The following is a 25,363-nucleotide window of genomic DNA, read 5'->3' on the forward strand; positions in this document are numbered from 1 at the left end:
TGGACCTTCCTTCCTCCTTCTTCCCATTTACATTTTGCCTGTTCAGGAACCAGCCAGATCCCCTTCACTCACCATGAGTAGCTGGTGCACTCAATTAATTCTCCTGGAAGCACATGCATTTTAGAAAACGATTTTAGAGACTCACTCATTCACTTGATTGATTATTTATCAAGCACCTATTTTGAATCAGAACCTATGTTAGGAGCCTGGACTTGAACCATACACAAGACCTACAGTCTCTGCCTTCATGCAGCTTACTATCTGGTGGTAAAGATATATAACTAAGGAATCAATACTACCAATAACAATAATAATAATAATAATAAAACATATTGTTGACCATTTACCATGTGCCAAGCACTGTTCTAAGTATTTTGCATTAAAAATCCTCTTCCCAAAACATACAAAGTATATTCTGTTATTATTCCCATTTCACAGGTTTAAAAATTAAGTCTTATGAAGCTTAAATAATTTTCATAAAGTTACTAAGAGGTGGAGGCAAAATTTAAACCCAGTATCCTTACCTGGTAAGGAGATTCGAGAGCATTGTAGAAATACATTGTAACTTAGACTAGTGGTAGGAACGGAAATTTTCCCTGAGGAAGTGCTGTCTAAAGAAAGACTTGAAAAATGAGACTACTGCCTTAATCAAAATGAATCTCTTATGAATTTCAGAATACTTACACAGAACAAGAGCAAAGCAATGGGAAGAGGAATGTTTGAGGGCCGAAGGACCTAAATCTCATTGCTGAAATGGCAGACTACTCTGGTTATGCACTGAGTGAAACAAGGTCCAGGCACAGCCCTGGCCAAGGACTGCCTCCAGGAGAAAGTATGTCTTACATCAATCAGAATAAAAAAAGAAATCAGGAGTTCAAATATTCCAATGTATCAGATAAATCCTCCAGCTAAGAGGACTGGGGAGAGCTTGGGCATATAAATATTAACTATACAGGCTTAAAATCCATAATTAAGAACCCCATTAGAGTTTTCTCTCATTCTTAGAGACAGGTCCTATAGCATTGTTTTTATGATGAAGGAATAATTAAGATCCCTAATTATCATACATGTCCCATTATACATAAGCATTATACATCCATTGGTCAAAACATAAATGGTACTACAATGGGTGGGAGTATTGAAGTGAGAAAAGGCAGCAGAGAAGCCTTTCTTCTACATACATGAAGAGCTCTTTTGTTCTCAAGGAAGGAAAATATAACATGAAGAATTTTTTAAAAACACAACCAAATAAATTTACGGTGTGGTTTCAGCTTTATTTTTCTGGGCTCTTAAAGATGACCTAGTCCAATTCCCTTATTTCACAAATGTGAAAATTATCTCAGAAAGGTAAACTTGCCTATCATCACACAGCTAATTCCTGCCACTGTGAAAAATGGAACCTAGACCTCCTTACAATATTGCTCTAGACCTTAGAGTCCTATAACATACGTTTATATTATGAAGAGTTTCCATTCTTCCTATTAGCAATAGGTTTTATGGAGATGTTCAGGTTAAGCCTAGATTTTTGCTAAGAATTTTGATGAACTTTGCTGAAGCAATATGAGTATTATTTGCCCTTGAGCCCCCGGTTGTGTTAACGAGGATCCCTAGTTTCAACCTTTTGTTGAAACATCACAAAATGTAGGTGGAGACTATAGCACTTTCTTTTGCAGTGAGTCAACAATGCCAGAAGCACTACACAAAAGCCAAGCAGACGTTATCCCTGCCAGGTGGCCTGATATTGAAAAAAGAGAAATAAATAATATGCTAGAAAAATTGGATGACTCAGGGAGCAGGGAAGAAGAAGAGATGAAGATTAAAATTGATAACATCATTTTGTGACTCAGAGTCATTTTTCCTGGATCATATTTCAAACGTTGCCCTTGTTAATTTTCCAATGAATATACAGATTTGAAAGCAAAGGAACAATGACCCAAAAGAACTAAGATTCGACATGAATGTGAAGAATTGGGTTACATAGGGGAAGTGTTTCCAGTAGCGGATAAGACATACATGTGGAATAGAGGAAAGAAAGTAATTTAATAGTCAGATGGTCTCTGCTGCGAATCCAGATCTGCTCAGTGAGAGTGTATCATAGGGTCTAGCCAGGAAAACAGAAACCACTCTACGTCTTTCAAACCGATGCATTTAATCAAGGGAAATTATTATCCAAAATGATGAAAAACCTGAGAAGCCATTAGGAGATGGAAGGCAACAGGAGAAAACTGTAACCACAACTAGAGGTGATGAAACAACAGGAGGAAATGGGTAACCAGAGCCCAGCATCTGGAGCTGTCCAGGAGAAGCTGGAGTCAGTGAAGACTGCCTAGTGGGAAAGACGATCATTGAAGGAGGAGCTTTCTTAAGGTAATTAGAACTCTAGATGGGACCCAATTACTCCACAGGAATGGAAACATCACAGGAAATACTACAGGAAGGGGTAGGGCGGAGAGAGAGAGGAGAGTGGAGAGAGGAGAGAGAGAGAAACATTGTGGTTTTTCCTTTCCATATTGCAGTCTTCTGCTACTACCTCACATTGGCCAAATGTGCCAGAAATGAAGAGGAGAAGAGAGACAAGGAAATGCAGTTCTATTTAAAACAGAGCAAAGCAGGGAAAGAGCAAGAATGGATGAGGTTACTCAGTTAATTGACTAGCACAAGGCACAGTTAATAAGGTCTGACTCCAGAAGACTCACTGATCTCTGAGCCAGTCCTGACTGGAGCAAGTTTTACATAGGGGCTCCATTACCATTTGTGGGGCCTAGATTCATCCATCCTCCTTTCTAGAGCTTCTGAAGTAAGCTCAAAACTCACTGCCTATTCACCAAACTTTAGACTTCTCCTAAACAATCTAAGTATTTGGGACATCCATAAAGCTAATGTCCAGCTTACCACATGAGCCTTCTCTGAACCTACTCCCTTCTTTTGAGACTTTGACAGCCTGTGAAGCTCATTAATTCCCACTTCCAAGGGACATGAACAAGGCTTGCACCCCCAACTTTGGGCTAGAATATTGATCCGAAAAGGATTGATCATCTGGGGCTTCAGTGCAGCCACCTATTAGACGTCCTGTATCACCACTAGCAAGTTTCTCCAGGCTCTGTGTTTCCACCCACCCATTGGACCGCCTTGATATAGTCAACAGCAGAATTTTCTATTAGTTGCCATACCCTGAGCTGTATAGACTTTGTCTTAGGGGGCCAACAGAACCACTGTTTACTTTGCTGGGCTTGGATTACCCATGGTCCACTAAGCAGTCACATTGAATTTTCCTTCTTTATCTCTCCCTCAGAAATTTGCCACCCACAAAAGGTGTTAACTAGCACAAAATAGTCAAAGGTGTATGAGAATAAGATAGAGTTAAAACAAAATTTCCTTTGGAAAATTGACCTTTTGCACCTGGAGAGAATCCAAAGGGTATTATTGAAGTTTTCCAGTGGAGCACTCTCTTCATTAAGCCAGGGTGCCGCTCTGGAAATTTTAATGTAAGAGCAAATTGTCAATAATCCTCTTGGCACTAAAGGTTGTGCTCTCTCTTTGAGGTCTCAAACAGCTCCTCCAGAGCAGACTCAGAGCTAAATGAAGAGTAGGAACAAAATGTACCAAAACCCAAATTGATTCTGAGGACACGATCAGATTCTCAGTCATTTGCCTTGTCCGTGTGGCACTTTAAAGCTGAAGGTTAAGGGAAGGACTCCTGCTGAGCCCTGGCTGCATTAGTCATAGCAGCATGTCTTTGAGCGGCGACCACTCAAAGACAGCAAATTACGGATTTCTGCCTCTGCATGTAAACTGTCTCCGTACAACTAAGGAAACTAGATTGGAACTCATGTACCAAACACTTCTTCTAGCCAACAATCTTTTAACTTCTGCCAAGACTTTTTTTTTTAACTAAAATAAAGTTGCTCAAGCTCCAAAAATAACATCTGTTGCTCAGAGTAACATTTTCAAACAACATAATAAATTGTACTTCCAGAAAATATACACTTTATGCTTCCCTAAGGGAACTCACAAATGGGTGATGTGGGATTCTCAGCTCCTTCATTTCATGTACTGCCTGCCCTTGGGCAAGTTGTTTAGGTGGTATGGGTGGTGGTAAGACTCACCATGAGAAATTTACCTTCATTTACAGCATGTAGGGACTGGAGTAGCCTTAACTAACAACTCTCCCCAGATGAGCCTGGTAGGTTAGCAGAATGAAGTTTTAAAATGGGGTTATGATGCCCTGGAGTAAGTACCAGGGAGAGCCAAAGAGGTTAAACAATCATATTAATAACTATAACACTCCAATTATGGCACATTTTTAAATTCCCTGAAAGTTAAATACTTTCTGAGATCAACTAACGGCCTCACTCTTAATTTTGAAACCTGCCAATCCTAGGATCTTATCCTCTCCAACTCTCCCTGTCAACCTTTTAGAGATGGAAGATGGGCTGAGCATGGATGTGCTTCGATCACAATTGGCTCCATGACTGTAAGCTCCCCTGACCATTTCCTAGGTACACCTAGGTCACTAGTATAAGAGACTGGGAGAGGTTGTGCAGGTTATGTATAATCATTATCACTACTAGAGATAATTCAAAACCCTCATTTCCATATGCACAGGGTAAAAGACTTAACTCCATGAGAACCCTCATTTCTAATTTGAGAAGAAATTCCAAAGATATTTTTATTGTTATCAACTTCTTAAAAGCATGAGATAGCCCTGCTGTCTGCCTTGGCCAGGATGTGGCTGCCAAGGGCAGAGTAGCAAGGAGGCCTAGAGAGTAAGCCCAGGGTTTCTTCTAGATTGAAAGGTATTGAAAATAAATAGCCAACCTCATGGGCTTGCAAGATTCTTTAGAACTAGAACATAATATTCACACAATTCATCCAATTGAATCAAATTCCTTAATCCTATGTAGGTGTTATGCAAAAAGAATGGGAAAATAAGAATTTCAGTGTCTCCTTTTTAATTTTGGGACTCTGGACAAGTCACCAAGGCACTCTGAGCTTCAGTCTCATGATAATTGATGATGATGATGATGATGATGATGATGGGGATGGTGGTGATGGTGGTGATGGTGGTGGTGGTGGTGGTAGTGGTGTTGGTGGTGGTGTTGGTGGTGGTGGTGGTGGTAGGGGTGGTGCCACTGCAGCTACTTACCTTCCCTAATGCAAACATTATGTGAAATTCACATCAGCATATATGAAATGACTTTATGGTAAGATATGGTGCTTTGAAAGTATTTATTGTTGTTGCTTTCATTGTTGTTGTTATTCAGAATGTTGTGTCAACCACTATACTGCCTGACAAACGGATGGACTAGATCACTTTTTTTTTTTTCGATATTTAAAGAGGTCTTTTATTTAAATCATCTTGTATCATGTCTGACACATTATTGTTTTTTGTTTTTTTTTTATTATACTTTAAGTTTTAGGGTACATGTGCACATTGTGCAGGTTAGTTACATATGTATACATGTGCCATGCTGGAAGAACTTTCCTGACCCTAAGATTCAGTTTTGCTATATGTTCATGTGCTTTCTCATGTTCTAAGGTCAAAACATCAATGAAAATATAATGTCTTACAAGCAAGGCAGGTCTTATTAAGCCGACAATGCATAGGCAAGCCTTGGTGCAGAGGGTACATTTTCTTACCAAGTATAGGGCATGTATAAAAATTACTGAGGGTTAATCTGACTTGGCCTTCCCAATTAAGCCTGCCTGGAGGCCTGAGCAAACCAGAATGTCCCAGACACTAGACTTGGCCTGGGTTGAATGTGACTATCTGCTGGGTTGCCCTGAGAGGAGTCCAGGCTCTAGACTGGCCCTCCCTCTTTGTTCTGTAGTGAATTTAAAGGGGATTTAGGTTCTGCATCAGAAAGACTCCACCCCAGCTCTAAGTCAATGCCTGCCTCTTCTGGAGAAGTGGTTCTCAAAGTTCAGCATCAGCAGAATCACCTGGGGAGGGGCTTGTTAACACCCAGATTGCTGGACCCCGGCCCCGGGGTTTCTGATTCAGTCGGTCTAGGGTGGGGCATGGGTAACTGCATTTCTAAGACGGTGCTGGTGCTGCTGCTCTTAGGACCATGTGTTGAGAAGCAATGTTTGGGAGAAACCATCATATATTCTGGTATCTAAATTGACCCTTTAAATATGCCAAAAAGACAGGCAGTTTTGTGAGCTGTTTTTGATGGAAGCTGGAATGGAGATACTTTAAAAAAGATAGTAGTAGTGGGTGTTAACTTTAAAAATAGATAATCTAGTTATATAAATTACATCCAAATAAAGCATTCCTTTTTTTGCATAGACTTCCCTGTTTAACATTTCTAATAAAGACAAAAAAATCATACTTTTTTGGATGAGTCATTTTTCCCATCTCTGGCTATTAAAAGTGAACAGTTTTAATTGGTTTTTTGCTCAAATTGAGGCAAAAGGCTTTCAGGTTGGTGACACAGTTACAAATTGCCCTTTGAAAGTTGAATAACAATTGGGAACTATGGCCCTGAGAGAAGGTAATGTCAACTGTACACCTCAGTTTTTCCTTTCATTATGCCTACAAGTCTGGCTTATGATTGCCTCTCATCTAATTAACCAATTAGGCTTTTCACCTTTTTGTTGGGACACTCAAATGTCCAAGGCTCTGCTTTAATAGTACATTCCATCATCATAAAAATGTGTGCAATTCCCTACTTTCCAAAGAAGATTGCATTTCTTGAGATTTATGTGCTGTTTTCAAGTTCAGTATTAATGATTTGGATGTGGTCCCCTGCAGCTTTAATCACTCACCACAAATAAGAGGTGAAATATAAGCATCATTTAGCTTCTTCGTTGCGGTCTGCCTTATTAGCAGGAGAGCAACACAACAGCGAGAGAGTTCTGCACTGAGCCTAAAGACTCAATTTCCATTCCAGCTCAAACGTTTACTGGTTCCAGGACCTTGAGGAAACCCTTTGACTCCCCAGAGGTTTTTCAGTTTTGAAATGGGGCCAATAATCTGTGCCTGGACTACTTCAGAGGGTTGTTTTGATGATCAAAATCAAAATGAGATAACACAAGTGAGAGCACTTTGGAAATTCATAAGTCTTAAAAGAGTCAAGATCTCCTTCTTCCTGGTGTCATGTTGTGGGTACAGTGTATTCTCTGTGATGGATTGTTAGTTTGCCCTGGACTGTGTCCGCAGGTTTCATTCCTGCTCCCAGCAAGCAGTTTCTCAAATGTGTGCTGCTGGTTCCTACTTGAAGACTGATGAGAAATGATGACAGCCCCATATCAACTCGCCATGATAATCCTAACATTTCTCTGCCACTGTAAAGGTAATAAAATCATTTTCAAGCACATGATGTTTCTTAACCTTTATAACCCTGTGCAGTTAATATTATTTCTCTCAATTCGCAGATGAGGAAACAAAGATGCAGATTCTTATTGTCTTCTCAAGTACATAGTGAGGAGCAGAACCTTTTCTTCTGGAAAACCAGATTTAAAGAAATAAGTACATAGGCAACTCAAGGGTATGGTCTGCTGATACACTAAAGGTTTTTTTTTGTTGTTGTTGTTTTGTTTTGTTTTTCTGTTTTAATGACTCTGGAGATGAAAGGTTGTAAATCAAGGGAATCCCAAGGTAAGAAAATAAAACACGTTCTCATTGGTTTGCCAGTGAAATGAATGATAAGTGCAAACTTAAACCTACAAGATCGAGGAGGTGAAGTTTAAATAGTAAGTTCTATAAGAGCCAACCTATAAAAACAGATCTGTAGTGTTCCTTCTGACTATACAGGGGTGTGATGGTTAATTTTATGCATTAACTTAACTGGATCACAGGATGCCCAGATGTTTAGCTAAACATTATTTTGGGTGTGTCTGTGAGGCTGTTTCCAGAGAGATTAGCATTTGAATTGATAGACTGAGTCAAGATTGCCCTGACCAATGCAGTTGGGTATCATCCAATCCTTTGAGGCCCGGACCAGAAGCCAAGAAGAAGGAAGGGAGAATTTGTCCCCTCTGCCTGATTGCTTGAGCTGAACATTGATCTCCTCCTCCTCTTGGCACTTCTGGTTCTCAGGCCTCAGACACAGACTGGAATCTACACCATCTGTGGACCTTTCCTGGGCCTCCAGCTTGCAGACAGCAGGTCTGCAAAATCAGATCAGCAGATCTGTGGAACCACACAGCCTCTGCCATCATGTGAGCCAGTTCCTTATAATAAATCTATTTACATGAATGTATATATCTTATTGGTTCTGTTTCCCTAGAGAACCCTAATACAAAGGATTCCCTCTCAGATATGTATAGAAATTTATTTTTATGAGTTTCTAGCCAGGCATTCATGTGATACCAATTCTTGGCCAGTACTAAACTTTGACTCTTAATGATTAAACCACACTCTTTAGGGAGACCACAATGTGGGGACACATTAACAGAAGCCAAACACCACACAAGCAATGAAACAAGAAGGACACACGTCATCTGCTAAAAATGTGTGTGTGTGTGTGTGTGTGTGTGTGTGTGTGTGTGTGTGTGTGTAACATCAGGGATCAACAATGCATGAGTTTGGGAAGACCAGATGATGAGACCCAGCTTACAAGGTATTTTGTATTTCTAATTGTTATAAAACCCGCCAGATTCAAAGTAAGTGAGAAATACAGATATAGAAATGGCACTCATAAATGAATTCAACTCCAAAGTGAATAAAACTTAAGACTATTTTAAAATAAAAGTGCAATTTTATTTAAATAAAATAAATGCTTTGAGTTATTTTAAAATAAATATTAGAAGAGCGAACCCAAATGTTAACTATGGACTTGGGTGATAATGATGTGCACTGTAGGTTCATAAATAATTGTAAGATATTTACCACTCTGGCACAGGAGGCGGATGGTGGGGTAGTCTGGGTGTGTGTAGGGGGAAGGGAGTGGGAGGACAGAGGGCATATAGGAACTCTGTACTTTCTGCCCAGTTTAGCCCTGAACCTAAAACTGTCCTAAAAATAGAGTGCTTTTTTAAAAAAAAGAAAAATTATTTTTTTAAAAGCACATTTTCTGGAGTTGTGATCTTCAGGATTACTGCTAGCAATTGCATTTTACAAACATGCAGAGGCCAGTGGCTTCCAATCTCTGAGTATAATATGTTGGTCTGGAGGATAGACTCTGTTTACCTTTTGGATCCAGACTTTGGTTCTGAATGAACATATTTTATAGAACATGCAAAGGGCAGCCGAGCTCGAGGAAGCCTGCAGAGTTCTGCAGTGTGAAGGCACACTGAGCAGAGATGGCATTTCCAGTTTTCACAGAAGATGCCACAGCTCTTGCATATACTGTATCTCCTTCCAACTTAAGTTCCCAAAAGGTAAAATCACCCTAAACAACCACTTTTAAAAGTCTAAATCACTTTCCTAAAAACCAGAGGAAATAAAAATCACAGTTAATATAAAACCAACTACTAATACTTCCTCTTCTACTACATGACTGTGTGCATAAATAAAACTCTGCAGACAATTCAAGGGAGCTTTAGAAAATCCCAGGTATCTACAGAGGTTATTGTTCTCTTTGATTTACCAATAGGGAGAATTTAATTGGTGCATTTATTGTGTTTATCACTGTAGTAACATGAATGAAAATTTTCAGGTCTCTGTCTGGCTTAGAAGGATCACTGCAATGCGATGCCACTGTCTTCCTTCAGGATGCACCCATGTGCTGAGGGATGTGTGCATTCACCCACTTAGGAGGCTATAATCAAAGCTGGCGGTCAGAGCTGGTGTTGGACCTTCCTACTGCCAAGTATGAGTTGATTAATAGCGTGAATTTTTACTCCGCCTTGTGGTCTTCTGATTTTTCCCCACATATCAGAACCTTGAATTTACAGTACGATTAGTAGACTTTGAACAAATATTTTAACTGAATGACTAATTGAATAAATGATTTAATTAACACAAGGTGAGTTCAGGGACCAAATAATTTGGATGATTTACAAGGTTCATGAAAGAACAGCAGATAAGGCTGGACTGTGGATTGGAGATAGAGTGTAGGATATCCTGAATGCCAGCTGAGGAGGTGGGAGGAGAGGAGCCTCCAGAGGTTTCTGAGTGGGGCGGGAGCACAATCAAAGCATGCTTAGTATGACTGTGATTAGAAGTCATGAGTCAAAGTAAATATCTGAGAGACATACCTAAAAAACAATTTTCTCTTCTTATTTTTCATGTTGTTAATGAATTATTTTTAAGTGGGTTTTAAGTTAACCTGAAAAGGTCTTGAAATTTCAATAAAATTAAAACATTCCATTTCCCAGAGCTCATGCAAAAGAATATTTCATAAGTGATGTATTTCCAAGGAAAAGAACATTGACATACTCTGACTACATGCTACCTAAAATAATAGAGGTTATTGGTTAAATATATTAATAACGAGAATCATACTAATAGTTAATAAGCTTATGTGTAGTTCTCCGACTTTTTTGAAATAATTTAAACATGTGTTAAGACCTAACATTTTTACTTATTCTTTAAAGCTACATACAGCTTTTTAAAAATAGCTTTATTAAAGAGATAATTAACATATCACAAAACTCAGCCATTTAAGTGTACAATTCAATGGTTTTAGTAAATTTGCAGAGTTGTACAACCATCAACACAGTCTAATTTTAGAATATTTTCATCAACAAAAAGAAACCCCATATGCATTAGCAGTCAATTCTCACTCCACGCCCATCCATCCCCAGCCCTAGGTAACTTAATCTTTCTGTGTCTATAGATTTTCTTATGCTGGACATTTCATTAAAATGGTATCATACAATATGTGGTCTTTTATGACTAGTTTGTTTCACTTAGCATAATGTTTTCAAGATTCATCCATGTTATAGCATGTTTGAGTAAGTATTTCTTTTTATACTGAATAATATTCCATTATATGAATATGCTATTTTTTAATCCATACATTCATTTATGGACATTTGGGTTGTTTTTATTTTGGGCTATTATGAATAATTCTCCTAGGAACTTCCATGCACAAGATTTTATGTAGGCATATTTTTTCTTTCTATTGGATATGTATCTAGAAGCAGAATTGCTTGGTCATCTGGTAACTCCATGTTTTACATTTTTAGGAGCTGCCAAACGGTTTTCCAAAATAGCTACACTATTTTACATTCCTATCAACATTATTTGAGAGTCGCAGTTTACCACATCCTTGCCAATGTTTGTTACTATTTTTAATTAAAGCTATCCTAGTGGGTGCAGGTGGTATCACATTGTGGATCACATTGTGGTTTTGATTTGCATTTCCCTAATGGCTAATCAATGTGAACATCTTTTTATGTGCTTATTATTCATTGTATATCTTCTGTGGATAAATATCTATTCAAATCCCTTGTCCATTTTTAATTTGGTTATTCATCTTTTCATTATGAGTATGAGGGTTCTTTATAAATTCTGGCTACAAATCCCTTCTCATATATTTGATTTGAAAGTGTTTTCTTCCATTCAGTGAGTTTTTCTTTTACTTCCTTTGATAATGTCCTTTAATGCATAAAAAGTTTCCAGTTTTCATAAAGTTCAATTTATCAATTTTTTCTTTTGTCACTTATGCTTTTTGTGTTATATCTATAAAAATCACTGCCTAACCCAAAGTCACAAACACTCTTAGGTTTTATTCTAAAAATTTATCATTGTAGCTCTTATTTTTAGGTCTATAATCCATTTTGAGTTAAATTTTGCAGATAGTGTGAGGTACAGGTCCAACTTCATTCTTTTGCATTCAGTTATCCCAGAACCATTTGTTGGAAGTACTATTCTTTCTCTACAAAACTGTGTTGGTACCTCTGCCAAGGATCAATTCTTCATAAATATATGGGTTTATTTCTGGGCTGTCAATTCTATTCTGTTGATCTATATACCTATCCTTGTGCCAGTACCACACTGTTTTGATTAATGTAGCTTTTATAATGAGTTTTGAAATCAGGAAATATGAGTGTCCAAGTTTGTTCCTCTTTTTCAAGATTGTTTACCTATTCTGGGTCTATTGCATTTCCGTATAAATTTTAAGATCGGCTTGTGAATTTCAGCAAAAATTCCAGATAAAAAAATTTTTATAGGGATTGCAATGAATCTGTAGATCAGTTTGGAGAATACTCCCATCTTGTCATCTTAACAATATTAATTCCTCCAATTCATAAATAAATATGGGCTTTTCCCTTATTTCAGTCCTTTAAAATTTCTTTCAGTAATATTTTATACTTTTCATTGTACAAGTATGACACTTGTTAAATTTATACTTAAGTATTTTATTCTTTTTATTCTATTGTTAATAAAATTGTTTTCTTAATTTCATTTTTAATTTTGCATTGTTAGTATATAGAAATATAATAGAGTTTTGTAAATATCTTGCATCTTGAAACCCTGATAAACTCATTTATAATTTTTAATTGAATTCCTGAATATTTTCTATATACATGATGATGTTGTCTGCAAATAGTTGTTTTACTTTTTCCTTTCTAATATGGATACCTTTTATTTAAAAATACTTTTATTCTGCCTTTTATATTTACTTATGCAGTTACCTTTACTAATGCTCTTTATTTATTCCCGTGGAGTCAAGCACTCCCTATTGTCCTTTCATCCTTTCAATTCTGTATGAAGGATTCCTTTTAATACGTTTTGTAAGGCAGTCTTGATAGAGACAAATTCTCTCAGTTTCTGTTTGTCTGGTAGTGTTTAATTTTTCCTTCATTTTTGACATGTAGTTTTGCTGGATGTGAAATTCTTCTATTACAGTCTTTTTCTTTCAGCACTTTAGATACATCAGCCCCGGTAAAAAGTAATTTGAGGAAAAAAAATAGATATGTTATCCACTGCCTTCTGGCCTATGTAGTTTCTGATGAGAAGCTAATTATTAATCTTAATGAAGATTCTTTACACATGATAGATCATTTTTCCCTTGTTGCTTTTAAGATTCTCTCTCTGCCTTTGTCTGTTGAAAATTTGACTATAATAATGTATAGGTATGGATCTCCTTGAATTTATTCTACTTGGAGTTTGTTGAGTGTGTGTGTGTGTGTGTGTGTATATATATATATTTAAAATCAAACTTAGGCAGTTTTGGGCCATAATTTTTTCAAGTAATCATTCTGCTTCTTTCTTTCCTCTATTCTCACATTCCAATTACACATATACATTTGTATACTTGATGGTCCCACAGATCTTTGAATCTCTGTTTATTTTTCCTTTCTGTTTCTCACAATGGATAATATCAATTGATCTACATTAAAGTTCACCATTTTTTTTCTTCTGTCAGCTAAAATCTGCTCTTGGGCCTCTCTGGTGCATTTTTCATTTTAGCTTAATACTTTTCAATACCAGAATTTCTATTTTGTTTTTTATAATTTTATCTCTTTATTGATATTCTCTATTTGGTGAGATATTGTTGTCATACTTTCCTTGATTTATTTTCATGTTTTCTATTAGTTCTTTAAACACTTCATAAAAGCTGATTTAAAATCTTTGTCTAATAACTCTAAGATTTGGGATCCCTCAGGGCCAGTTTCCATTGACTCCTATTTTCCTGTGTATGGATAATTCTTTCTTGCTTTTTTATGTGTCTCATAATTTCTTGTTGAAAATTGGACATTTTAAATAATATAATGTGGCAACTCTGGAAATCAGATCAACACCTCCCAACCAAGGTGTGTGGGTGTGTGTGAGAAAGGTTGCTATCATTTTGTTGTATTTGTTGTTTTTTTTTTTGTTTTGTAACTTTCCTAAGCTAATCCTGTAAAGTCTATATTCTTCATAGTGTGTAACCACGGTTCTGTTCAGTTACGTTGTTAATCAGCTAATGCTTGGTCAGAGATTTCTTAAATGCCTCCAAAAATTAAATCTTTCAACCTTTACTCTCAGGCTCTGTGTGTGTGTGTGTGTGTGTGTGTGTGTGTGTGTGTGTGTGTGTGTGTGTGTGTTGGGGCATGCTTTCCATGTTCAGGCAGCCAGTTTACAAACTCTACCCTAGACTTCATTTCCTGCTTGCACAGGGCTTCAAGATCAGCCAAAGACTAGAGACTGGGGCCGTCTCAGGTCTTTACTGGGCATACACACAACCTTGCATGTAAGTGCAGCCATCTAGATCCCCAGGAATATCTTAGAGCTCTTGAAAAGCCCCAGGGACATCTCATTTCCCTTATCTACGTTTTAAGTTTCTGGCCAGGCTCTTGTTTATCTCTCATGTTAAGTAATTACCACTAATTGTTTTTGAAAAATTCCCTGGGGATAGGGCTTTTCCTTTAACATATGTTGTGAATCAGATCAAATAACAACTGCTCCTTTTGAGTGGGCTTTTCCAGAGGCTGTGAGATAGGTCAAACAGTGACAGTGCTCTGCAGATAGAACATTCTGTGGAGTTACAAACCCCATCTACCCCGCCAGTGGCTGCATGGCTGCTGTTTTTCATAGCTACTATGATTGTGAGGCTGCTGATTTTCCAGGCTACTGCAGAGATGGGGAAAGAGTGATAACAGGAGATAAAGTACCACAAACTCTGCAGTTCTTAATGAGGTTCAGCAGTTTTTCCTGAATAAGCAGTTTTCAGATTGTTACAAGACTTTGTTAATTTCTAGAAGTCTAAAACGTTATTAGTGTTTTCATGGCTTAGTGTGCCAGTGTTTTCATGGCTTTTATGGCAGGGCAAATTATAGAGGTAGAGGTCCTCATACTGCCATTCCAGAAGTTTCCTACTAGTATTATTTTTAAAGGAAAACAAAGTTTAATTGAAGATTTTTGTGCATTATAAATGATTCTTCATCTTTATTTTCAACTGTTTTATTTAGGCAATTGCATATTGTAGTTCAAAATTCAATATTAATTTACAGAGTGTGACAGAAGCCTACATTTTCCTAGTTTCTTTCAGCACCTTCTTCATATCACATATTTCCTCGTGTTATATAGAGGGCTGAATCTCCCAAGTAACTCTCCTTTTTATTCCCCTTAATTTAGTTATGCTTTTTTTAACATGTGGTACCCAGAGCCAGACATATTATTTTTTATGTAATCAGATCTTTGCAGGACATACGAGGGCTTTCACATTTCTCCTGTTAAGGGTATTATGTTTTTATTGCTGTTGTTTATTAGCAAACACACTTGACTGAGTATATAAACCTACCCAGATTCAAATCAACTTGAAGCAAGACACGAGATAATAGAAATTGCAAGATAAATGCTGAACAGGTTGGTTTTTCTCTTTTGGACTTTGGGGACTTGGGTCCAGTGAGATCTGAAAATACCCAAAAAAGCTAGCAAAATACCAAAGCACACAAATTTACTTGTTATTTTATTTTGTTATTCTTTAAAACTATTTTATAAAATTTATTTAAAGTAGATTAACAAAAGATTTCTTCTTCCATTGTGAAATGCGTTATTTTCAAATATCTTTCTGATATCTGATCATTTGGTAAAAGAGCTCATTCTTTCCTATTAACTAGCCACACACATACACTTTTTTAAATATTTTAAATATCAAGAATACAAAAAGGGAAAATACACTTATTTGGCCATTAAACCTTTCTGGCATCTTATTAAAATCTTATCATAAGACATGAAAATAATTGATTTTATTGAAGATGTCCTCATTCAGTTCATCTATATCTAAGTGATATGCAGTATGCATAATCCTTTGTCAACATTCAAATAAATTTAAGACCATATTTTGGCATGATAAGTTCTAGTTTCTTAAAACTTGTACAATTCATGGCTGGACGCTGTGGCTCACACCTGTAATCCTAGCACTCTGGGAGGCTGAGGAGGTCAGATCACCTGAGGTCAAGAGTTCGAGACCAGCCTGGCCAACATGGCAAAACCCTGTCTCTACTAAAAATACAAAAATTCACCGGATGTGGTGGTACATGCCTGTAATCCCAGCTACATGGGAGGGTGAGGCAGGAAAATCACTCGAACCCAGGAGGTGGAGGTTGCAGTGAGCCAAGATCACACCATTGCACGCCAGCCTGGGTGAAAGAATGAGACTCTGCCTCAAAGAAAAAAAAAATTTACAATTCATACAGAGCAATTCTCCCACTATAATTTAGCCTTCTTATTTATGATGTTCATCTGAAATTCATACCATTGCTTAATAGAATACCTCAAAATCTCTTTCTGATAAATTCAGTGGCTCCACATTTGAGCATGAAAAGCAGCAGAAATAATCAAAGTATATTTTAAAACTGAAGACAACTAAACTGTCAGTTTAAAGGAACACTTGTTATCAAACTTCTATCTTACAAACATTTAGGCTCCACCTAAAAATCTAGAGCAAAGACCAAAACATTGTTTTGACAGAGTCTAAGAAGAATGTGAGGAACAAAGAAGCAAGAGAAAACATGAAAAACTAAAATTGATATCTCTCTGGCTCCCTCTGTTTGTTTTTTTTTTTTTTTTTTTTAGCTGTATGACTTATTAGATAATTGTTGCCATTTATAACAAGGATATTATACTTTTCTATTTGTGGTGTTAACCAGAGGCACAGAGCACACAGAAATGGGGAGCTGGATGCATATATTTACATATTTAAATTTTATAATCCCTAGATCTCTACTTTTTAGCTTCTTTCTCAAATAGATTGAAACCCTTCCCTGGATGACTGATGGAACAGATTGGAGTTTTATTGCTAAAGGGGAATAAGAAAGTAGAAAGCCATGTGCTATAATGGAGGCGTACTTTGCAATCCTCTCATTTTAAATGTATATTAACAACTTGATTCTATAATGGAATAACTTCAAGAGTAGCTCTAAGCTCTCTACAAAATGGCTAACTATATTCTTCTTATTCATTTCAACCTTCTAAATAAAACATGCGACCTCTTCACCCCCACTTAAAATGGCAGCATTGAGTTTTTCTACAATATTCATTATTATATATGTCTTTGAGCCTCTGTTAAAAATATGAATATGGAACCTTGGCACTAATAAATGAGCTTGATCTACACTATGCAAAAGGTATCAGAAATAATCAGTACACTATCTAGGGAGAAGTCCAAGACAATATCCATTTGGTTTTCTTCCTTAATTTTGTAGACTTATTTTATTTGGTGAGAGAAGATTCTTTGGGTTCAGAGTGGCCTAGATTTGAGTTTCAGGTTTATCTCTTTACTAACTGTGAGAACTTATGCGAGTTACTTACATATACTAAAATATACTGAGTCTCAATTTCCTCATCTGTAAAATACGGATAATAAAACCTGTTGGCAGGACCAAATCATAAATTAAATGACTGCACTGAAAGGAGAGTTTGACTCCTACGAACCTCTAAGACATTCATTGTACAGGAACAACCTCCAAGTTCCTCAATGTATGTGGAGATTCAATAAAAGACCATCTCGTTAGAGATGTGAAAAAATGTTTTCCTGAAGAGATTACCCCTGTCAATATAAAATTATTTTATTTTCTGGAGTTACAACTGTGTTAAAAATTACATCAACTCTTTTATCTGTTGTAGGAAGTGAGCATTTAAAGTAAAAGTTTCTTAATTGTCAATACTTTGTATTGAAATCCTAACCTATTACTTTCTCCAGCTGTTCTGCCTAGAACAAGGTTGTTTCCCCATGCCCCAGTTAAAGATTTCAGGCATCAGAAATATAGAAATTAAAGAAAGAAGGGAAGGGAAGGAGAAGCGCAAGAGAGAATGTATGTTTTGGGGGTAGGGAAGAGAAATGGGTAGTAGCAATGTGTGTATATGTGTGTAGCAGAGGTGCTGATAAGAGTGGCTACTTCTCAGCTATCTGAGGATGAAACTAAATCTCTCTATTGTCTTTTAATTCATACAATCCCTTCTGAAGACAGATGCATTTTTCTTTCCTTATGTTATCAGAGTCACTTTCTGCAATCTCAAAAGCAGTTCAAAACCAAAGGATATCAAAAGCCAATGCAGTTTGGAGAAAGTCTGAAACCCAGGGCTCTGCACTGCTTGTCTCTTTCTAAATTGAAGTGCAGAAGTGCATTAAGGCTGTTGCCATCAATCACTGTTCAAACCCAGGATAAAAGATCTGTACCTGCTGGAAGGCAATCTCCCACCCCACAGTGCTGCAATCAAATGTATAATTTTTGTGAATTTCCACCAAAACTTTCTACAGTATCTGGCTTATGCCCCTGATTGTATTATCTTCCATGTTTAGGTTATATCTTTCCCCCAAAAATTGTTAGGAAACATTTGCTTACTGCCATGTAACATCTAAAAATATAAAGACATTAAGAGATGTGAGAAAATGCCTACGGGTTTTTGTATTCCAATTGCCATCCCTGAAAGCCACAACAGAGTGATTCACTGTTTTTCATGGAGAAAACTACCAATCAACAGAGAAAAAAAAAGGAGACACTGAGGGATATAGTGTGGGCAGCTCTAGTTATAGTCATTCATTATCACAGCTTGCACACTGCACAATGGGAGCTTCAAAAGATCACAGCTGGACTTTCCATGAAGCACATGTTACAGGACATCACAAGCTGGGTCCCACATCATCTGGGTCAGGGGCCAGGCCAAAGTTGTAATGAAAAGCATTACAACAAGTTTAGAAGTTTTCAGAAGAAAGACGAAGAAGAGATATAAAATTCACACATATGAACTTATTTGGGAGAAACCTGATGGAGGAAAATGAAAGAAAAAAAGATGGAACAAGAGCATTCCTAGTTAGAAATTTAACTTTTTTTAAACAAGGAAAACCAAGAAATACAATATAATAGTGTCTTTTTAAACAGAGAAGAATATGACTCCATAAGCAAGGCCTTGGAATTTTACTGCAAAGGGCTGACATATGTAGTGAACAAAGATCAGAATTATAAAATCAAAAATAAAAATGTAGCCCTATTTCCAGGCTGAAGTGAGCTGACAAGCCACATCCACTATGTGCCTGGGGGTCCCTGTCTTGGGTCATTCAGTCTCCCAGAACTGTCCACAAACCAGTAGACAGTTTCCTTCTCATCTTGGAGAGGTGGGGAGAGCTGGGGTCCTGAGTTGAAAGGCTTGAGCTACTGGCAATGGCTCTGACATGAAAACAAGCCCTATCTCTCTGTACAGGCCCCACAGCCAAGCTTCCAGCAAGCAGTAGCTCTGGAGACTGTAGCCAAGAATGATCAAAAGCAAAACCCCACACCCATGAGACAAATCTAATATATCATCCACAGCACCCTCTAACTGGAGGCACAGACTTTGAGATGGAAGTGCACTGGCTGAAGTAAATAGGGACGAGGTAGAGCCCTTCTATCTGCTAGAAACTACGTGATCCTGAATGCTCATTTGTCCCATGCACTACCAATAAAGAGATCTCTGAAGTGGATCTGTCAGCCCCACTCACAGGCTAAAAGCCTCACTTCTGACTCCATGGGTTTGTATCTCCCAGCTTTGTGAGTAGGAAGCAGAATTTTTCCAATACTCTTGCTCCAAACTGGGGAGTAAGACCACACAGCCAGGTGGCTTCTAGTTAGGCAGCCCCATGAGTTGTAAAGATACTTCAAACGCTCTCAGACTCAATTCTTCTAGCATGTACAAATGATTAATAGCAGCAATTCTATTGCATCCAGACATTCATTTTTCCAATTGTTTCCCACCCCCTCCCCTCGCTGGGGAAATGTCATTTAGCCACTAAGAAACCAAACACAGACATCAATAGCTTTAAAACTCTGTTTTTGGTTCACCTTCTGCCGCTGAGACTCTAGTAAGCACAGCACATAACATTGCAGTAGTCCAAAGAAAGTCCTCAACCAGCCCTGGATAGTGGAGGCCCTTGGAGAGACTGATAATGACTGAGTCATGTGGATTTAACCCAGAAACCCAACAGCCAGCAAGCTAGTCTTCTTCATCTTGAAAAATCTTAATAATCCAAACAATATGTGAAATATTAAGCTAGAGCACTTTTATGAAATTCCATATCAATTCAGAAACTGGCATGAAATTTCTTTCTTTGTTTGTGTTCACAAATACCCCATTCATCAAGATTGCTAATGGCTGGGCTTTGCAGACTTAAAATGTGAGAAATGAGATATTGTAAGATGACAGTGTAGGGTGTTGGCAGCCTGGGCTGCTAGGTTTCAAATCCTGGCCCTGCCACTTACTAGTTACATAACCTTGGATATCATGCTTAACCTCCCTCTCCTCCATTTCTCCGTCTGTAAGTGGGGATAATGTTAGTTATTTCATAGGATTGTTATGAGAATTAATTACTATATGTAAATTGTTTAGAATAATCCCTGGACATCATAGGAGTTCAATAAATGTGAGATACTATTATGTCTGGGTGAATCTTTTCTCCATTTACAGAGGAAGAAGGCAAACGACTAAAGCCTGCTGGGGTGGTTACGTTTATATTGATGAGGAGAGAGTAAAGAATGGAGAAAAGAAAGTGAGAAGTGAGGTCACACATAGAACCAAGTGGAAAATACCTGCAGGGCATTGCAAAGGTGTGGCTGCAGGGCTTCGCTATTCATAGAGCAAACTCTGGGAGAATGTCATTACAACCACTGACCACTGGCAGGAGCCATTTGAAAATTCAGTCATTTTCTCTCTCTTGTACTTTGAAGAATTAAATTACTGTTCACCAGACAATCCTATCTCAGAAGCAGAAAGTAACACTAAACTAATTAACTTTTAACTTTTTTTTTTTTTTTTTTGAGATGGAGTTTCGCTGTTGTTGCCCAGGCTGGAGTGCAATGGCGCGATCTTGGCTCACTGCAGCCTCTGTCTCTTAGGATCAAGCAATTCCCCTGCCTCAGCCTCTTCAGTAGCTGGGATTACAGGCATGTGCCACCATGCCTGGCTAATATTGTGTTTTTAGTAGAGACGGGATTTCTCCATGTTGGTCAGGCTGGTCTCAAACTCCCGGCCTTAGGTGATCCGCCTGTCTCAGCCTCCCAAAGTGTTGGGATTACTGGTGTTAGCCACCGTGCCCGGCCCTATAATTAACTTTTAAAAGGTTTCCTGGATTCTTGCTAAAAGAACTCTCCATCCTCACCAAATACCTCCTCCCAAGTCTTAGCCATAATGGCACCAAGGGGCAACTGTTAGCTAGGAAGAGTTTCAAAGGTTAAAAATAATCGAATATTGACTCAAAGATATAATATCACATTATAAAGTACAGATCTTATTTTTTCTCATCTAAAACAATTAAACATTTCTATAATTCTAAAAAAGATGAGCCAATTGTGATGCAATAGCAATTGTTAAATTGCAAAACATATGCTTTCTACATATTCATGTTGATTCTAGAATGACATCAAAGTAAAGTGATATAAACTGTTCATCTTTATATTCTGACTTAACAATAATAATTTTTACTCCCTGATGATCTCAAAATACTTAACAGACATTATCTAACTAAGAAGGTATTAAGCCTTGTGTGGTGGCTTAAGACTATAATCCCAGCACTTGGGGAGGCTGAGGCAGGTGGATCGCTTGAGGCCAGGAGTTTGAAACCAGCATGGGCAGAATAGGGAGACCTTGTTTCTACAAAAAAAATTAAAACATTAGCTGGGCATGGTGGTGTGTGCCTGTGATTGGTCCCAGCTCCTGAAAGGCTAAAAGTGAGAGGATCCTTTAAGCCCAGGAGGTTGAGGCTGCAGTGAGCCATGATTGCACCACTGCACTCCAGCCTGGGCAACAGAGAGAGACCCTGGCCGAAAAACAAAAACAAAAACAGAAAAGAAAGTATTAATGGGAGATTTCTATGCAAATATTATAAAAAGTTGGAGTAGAAAATATGGGGATGTAAGATCTAAATTAATGATAAATCTTTGAAATGTAATAATAACTCATTATTATATTGTCTTTAATGGTTTAGAATATATCTTCCCATGCATGATATCATTTAAATTTCAACACAAATCTCTGAGATACGTGGGCAAACATATAATAATCTGTAATCAAGAAAGCTCCAGAATATTGAAATTGAGTAATCAATTTAGTTTCAATTTTAAAAAGTAAATGCAAAATTAAAATAATTTTGTATATAAATTCAAAACTTTGTAATCTTCCTGAAATATATATTAATAAAGTATCTCTTTTTTAGATAAAAAAGGCATTTATCTCAATTTTTAGTGAAAGAAAATCAATGGAGACATGAAATACAGTATTCAATCGAAGTTTCTAGTTCAGGTATACAATTTTTAACCCAGGACGAATATTTTCCCTCAAGTTATGTAAAGTTTTATGCTTACAACATGTTATTTTACTATCTGTCATTCTGAGATATTAGAAAGCTATTAGGATATTTTCTTTAAATAAATGATCCCCATATATTATTTTAGAAAAATAATTTTATTGTAGTTTGTCCCAAATCCAGAAAAAGCACAGCTTTTACACAGACCCATGAATAGTGTGGAAAGCAAAGGGTCATCCAGATTTACCCTAAACTTACTTGTTTCAGGGTTAACCTGTCACGAACCCAGCTGGGAGTAGTCCCCAGTCTCATCAGAACTATGTATCTCTTCATCTTCCATAAAGAGTAGAATGAGGAGCCTATAAACAAACACTTAATATCTCTGTTTGCCTATCAAAGTTTTGCAGGAAGCCAGATAATCTTTCTAAAAGTAAAACGTGTGATGCGAATTTATGGAAATGCATTCTACATCCCTGTCACTCTCCAGGACACATCAAACCCAGTGACACTCATGAGTCAGAATGTGATGGTGAACGCAAATCAGATAAGGGAAGAAATCAATCACTTAATGTCTTTATGTCCATATCCTCGTCTACACCACTAGTCTCCAAAGATATAGAAGAAGAAAATATTCAAACTTCTATTTCTATTATGTTAATCTCATTCTTCCAAAATGTCTACATTTTATATTTCTCATAATGTGAATAATATATTAATACAGTAGTGACAGGTAGTAATTCCAAACGAACCTAGTTTAAACAAGAGGGAAAAATATTCCTTTGTATATGAGAGCAGTCTTGCAGGGAAGAAGGACTTTTTTATGCTCAAGTGGATGTATTCTGCTTTTCTAAACTGGCTTGCTTCTTACAGAAAGAAAAAAAAAGAAATATGATGAGTGAAAAATTTTCTAGAGAATATGTGATAAACCAGAATGTCTGAAATTTCTAAATCCAGTAAACTTTTCCCCCCACTTACACTACATGATCAGGATGGGTCTTATTTATCAGGAATGCACTGAGATCCGGATCATTATTACAGGCTGTAAACCTGGGAACACAGTGTGTTTGAAGTGATGAATTTAATAGCGTCCGATGACAGCAAATCATAATGACAGAAGGTGTGTCATAAAATCAGTCAGAGACGAGTTGTGAAACATGAATATTGCCAAGTCAGCTTGTGGGAAATTATGTGATTTTCCCTGTATTTCTAACATTTTAAGAAGGTCAGCCTTCAGGAGTCCTTTCAGAATCTGAACTGAGGCACTTAGGAGGTCTCTCATAGATTGCATAACTTGAAACACCACAAGAAAGAATGGGGGCAGGCATAGAGAAGGACATTCTATTTTCCTGTAATTTTATTTTCCCTTAACCTAATAAAACATTCCAATGGAAAGTGACAAAAAAGCAGCTCCAGTAATTTGTCAAACGCAGACTAAGCACTGCATAAATAGCCTCAATATGATTCCCCCAGTATTCACTTCATTCCTATGCAGGCAAGATCTCAGGGACAGGTGCAGACCCCCAATTATTTTTTCTGATGGCTATGTTTATATTAAATAATGCTCATTCCCCTGAAATATTTAATCTTAGATTAATTGCCACAATTGTCAGAATACACATAAATCGGACCCAAATTCTGCCATGTTTCAACAACTAGAATATAGAACATGAAATATTTAGTTCCTTTGCTCCTGTGATATCAATCTCATATCAATCCTCTTTCACAATATTCTTAACCGTGGCCTAGACATCAAGATTTTTAAAGCTCTCACATAATTGTAATGTACACCCCAAAACTGAGAATCAATGGACAGGGGACTCAGAAACTCACAGAGAAGCTCTTTAGGGAGCTTGCAATGTGATTCAGAGCAGAGTGGCTACCTGCTCTTAGAATCCCTCACTCCCCTGGATCTCCTGGAATGCCCCTACCTCCCGCTAGGTGAAGACACCTCAGTTAGTGTCAAGAAACACTCCAACCTGTATGAAAGTAATTGCGTCATTTTTTAGCAACAGTACGGTATTTTAAGGGAAAATTCTGAAGTTGGGCTCTCTGGGGGAAAATAATTATTTTAAACTCCTTCCCATATTATCAGGTTATGGCCCTAGACACCAGGGTCTACTAGAGGGGGAAAGGTAAGAGGAGGGTGAGGGTGAGGGTCAAAAACTATGCTCACTACCTGGGTGACGAGACCATTTGTACACCAAACCTCAGTGACATGCAATTTACCCATATAACAAACCTGCACGTGTATCCCCTAAACAAAAACAAAAGTTGAAAAGAAAAAAAAATACAAAACATAAATTTGATAAAACACTAATAAGACTGATTAGAAAAAAGAACAGAAGAAAAAAATTAAAAATTTGAGGAATGACTACAGATAGAGTAGATATTTATAAAAATATTTGAGAATACTATGAAGCAAATTATGCCAACATATATTAAGATATAAAAATGGACAATATTTTAGAAAAATATAACATCAAAAATTGAACTGAGAAAGCCTGGAAAACTGTTTTTCAATGACCAATGACCATTAAAAAGTTGAACAAACAAGACTTAGAAAAATGTTTTAGTCATGTTTTACCAAATCTTAGAGGAATAGATAAGCTTTCTCTTATATACATTATTTCAGAGGATACCCAAATAGCTATACAAATTATATTTAAAAATACATTATATTTTATATTATATATAAATCAGTAGCATGATGACATCAGGAAGTGAAATTATTTATTTTTTTCCTGTTCAGCATTTATAGCAATTCATTTTGTCTGGATGTTTGCTGGGCCATGTGCTCCAGTCAAAGATTAACCTTTGCAGGAAAAATTTAAAAAATTAAAAATGTACATTTAATTCTAATGTTTTAAATTTTCTCTACTCAGAAGAGGTTAAAAGGAAGATAAAAAATAGTTTATATCAATCTGATATATTATTTAGATAGTCTGGCTTTGAGTCAAAGAGACCAGGAAGAAAAGAAGAAGAGCAAGGAGGAGAGGAAGAGAAGAGGAGGAGGAAGAAGAGAAGGTGGAAGAAGAGAAGGAGGAAGTGAAAAAGGAGGAGGAGAAAACATTAATTTAGAAGAAGGAATCAAACAAAGAAAGATTTGGAGGCCACTTCTTCACAGCCATATGGGATAAATGACAAAGAACAGGCCTTGCTATTTAATGAAAATAAGCTGCCAAAGTACAGGACCATGCAGAAAATAACAAAGCATTTAATTATACAGTGACAGTTGCAGCACTGGGGATTTCCCAGAGATTAATGGA

At 37.1% G+C, this 25,363-nt stretch overlaps 1 protein-coding gene and 1 long non-coding RNA gene across 6 annotated transcripts in view, besides 1 other annotated feature; one reads left to right on the plus strand and one right to left on the minus strand.

Annotated features, from left to right (window-relative positions):
- The window catches only part of RERG (RAS like estrogen regulated growth inhibitor), a 113,635-nt gene that overhangs the window by 53,680 nt on the left and 34,592 nt on the right, over positions 1–25,363 (minus strand). The window lies entirely within an intron of this gene.
- On the plus strand, positions 1,113–16,825 carry LOC124902887 (uncharacterized). Of its 2 annotated transcripts, XR_007063223.1 has the most exons (3): positions 1,113–2,367; positions 7,166–7,298; positions 7,381–16,825. It is a non-coding gene; the product is annotated as an uncharacterized LOC124902887 (long non-coding RNA). The 2 variants fall into 2 exon arrangements; XR_007063222.1 differs by having other exon boundaries at positions 7,166–16,825.
- Positions 18,413–18,584: a silencer, noted in NCBI's record as "fragment chr12:15332809-15332980 (GRCh37/hg19 assembly coordinates)". NCBI's record gives its function as "represses an EF-1alpha promoter that drives an FKBP-Casp9 reporter gene in an ReSE screen in K562 erythroleukemia cells {active_cell/tissue: K562}" and the evidence as "EXISTENCE:reporter gene assay evidence [ECO:0000049][PMID:32094911]".

The sequence above is a fragment of the Homo sapiens genome, chromosome 12, assembly GCF_000001405.40.
Source record: "Homo sapiens chromosome 12, GRCh38.p14 Primary Assembly".
Classification (NCBI taxonomy): Eukaryota; Metazoa; Chordata; class Mammalia; order Primates; family Hominidae; genus Homo; species Homo sapiens.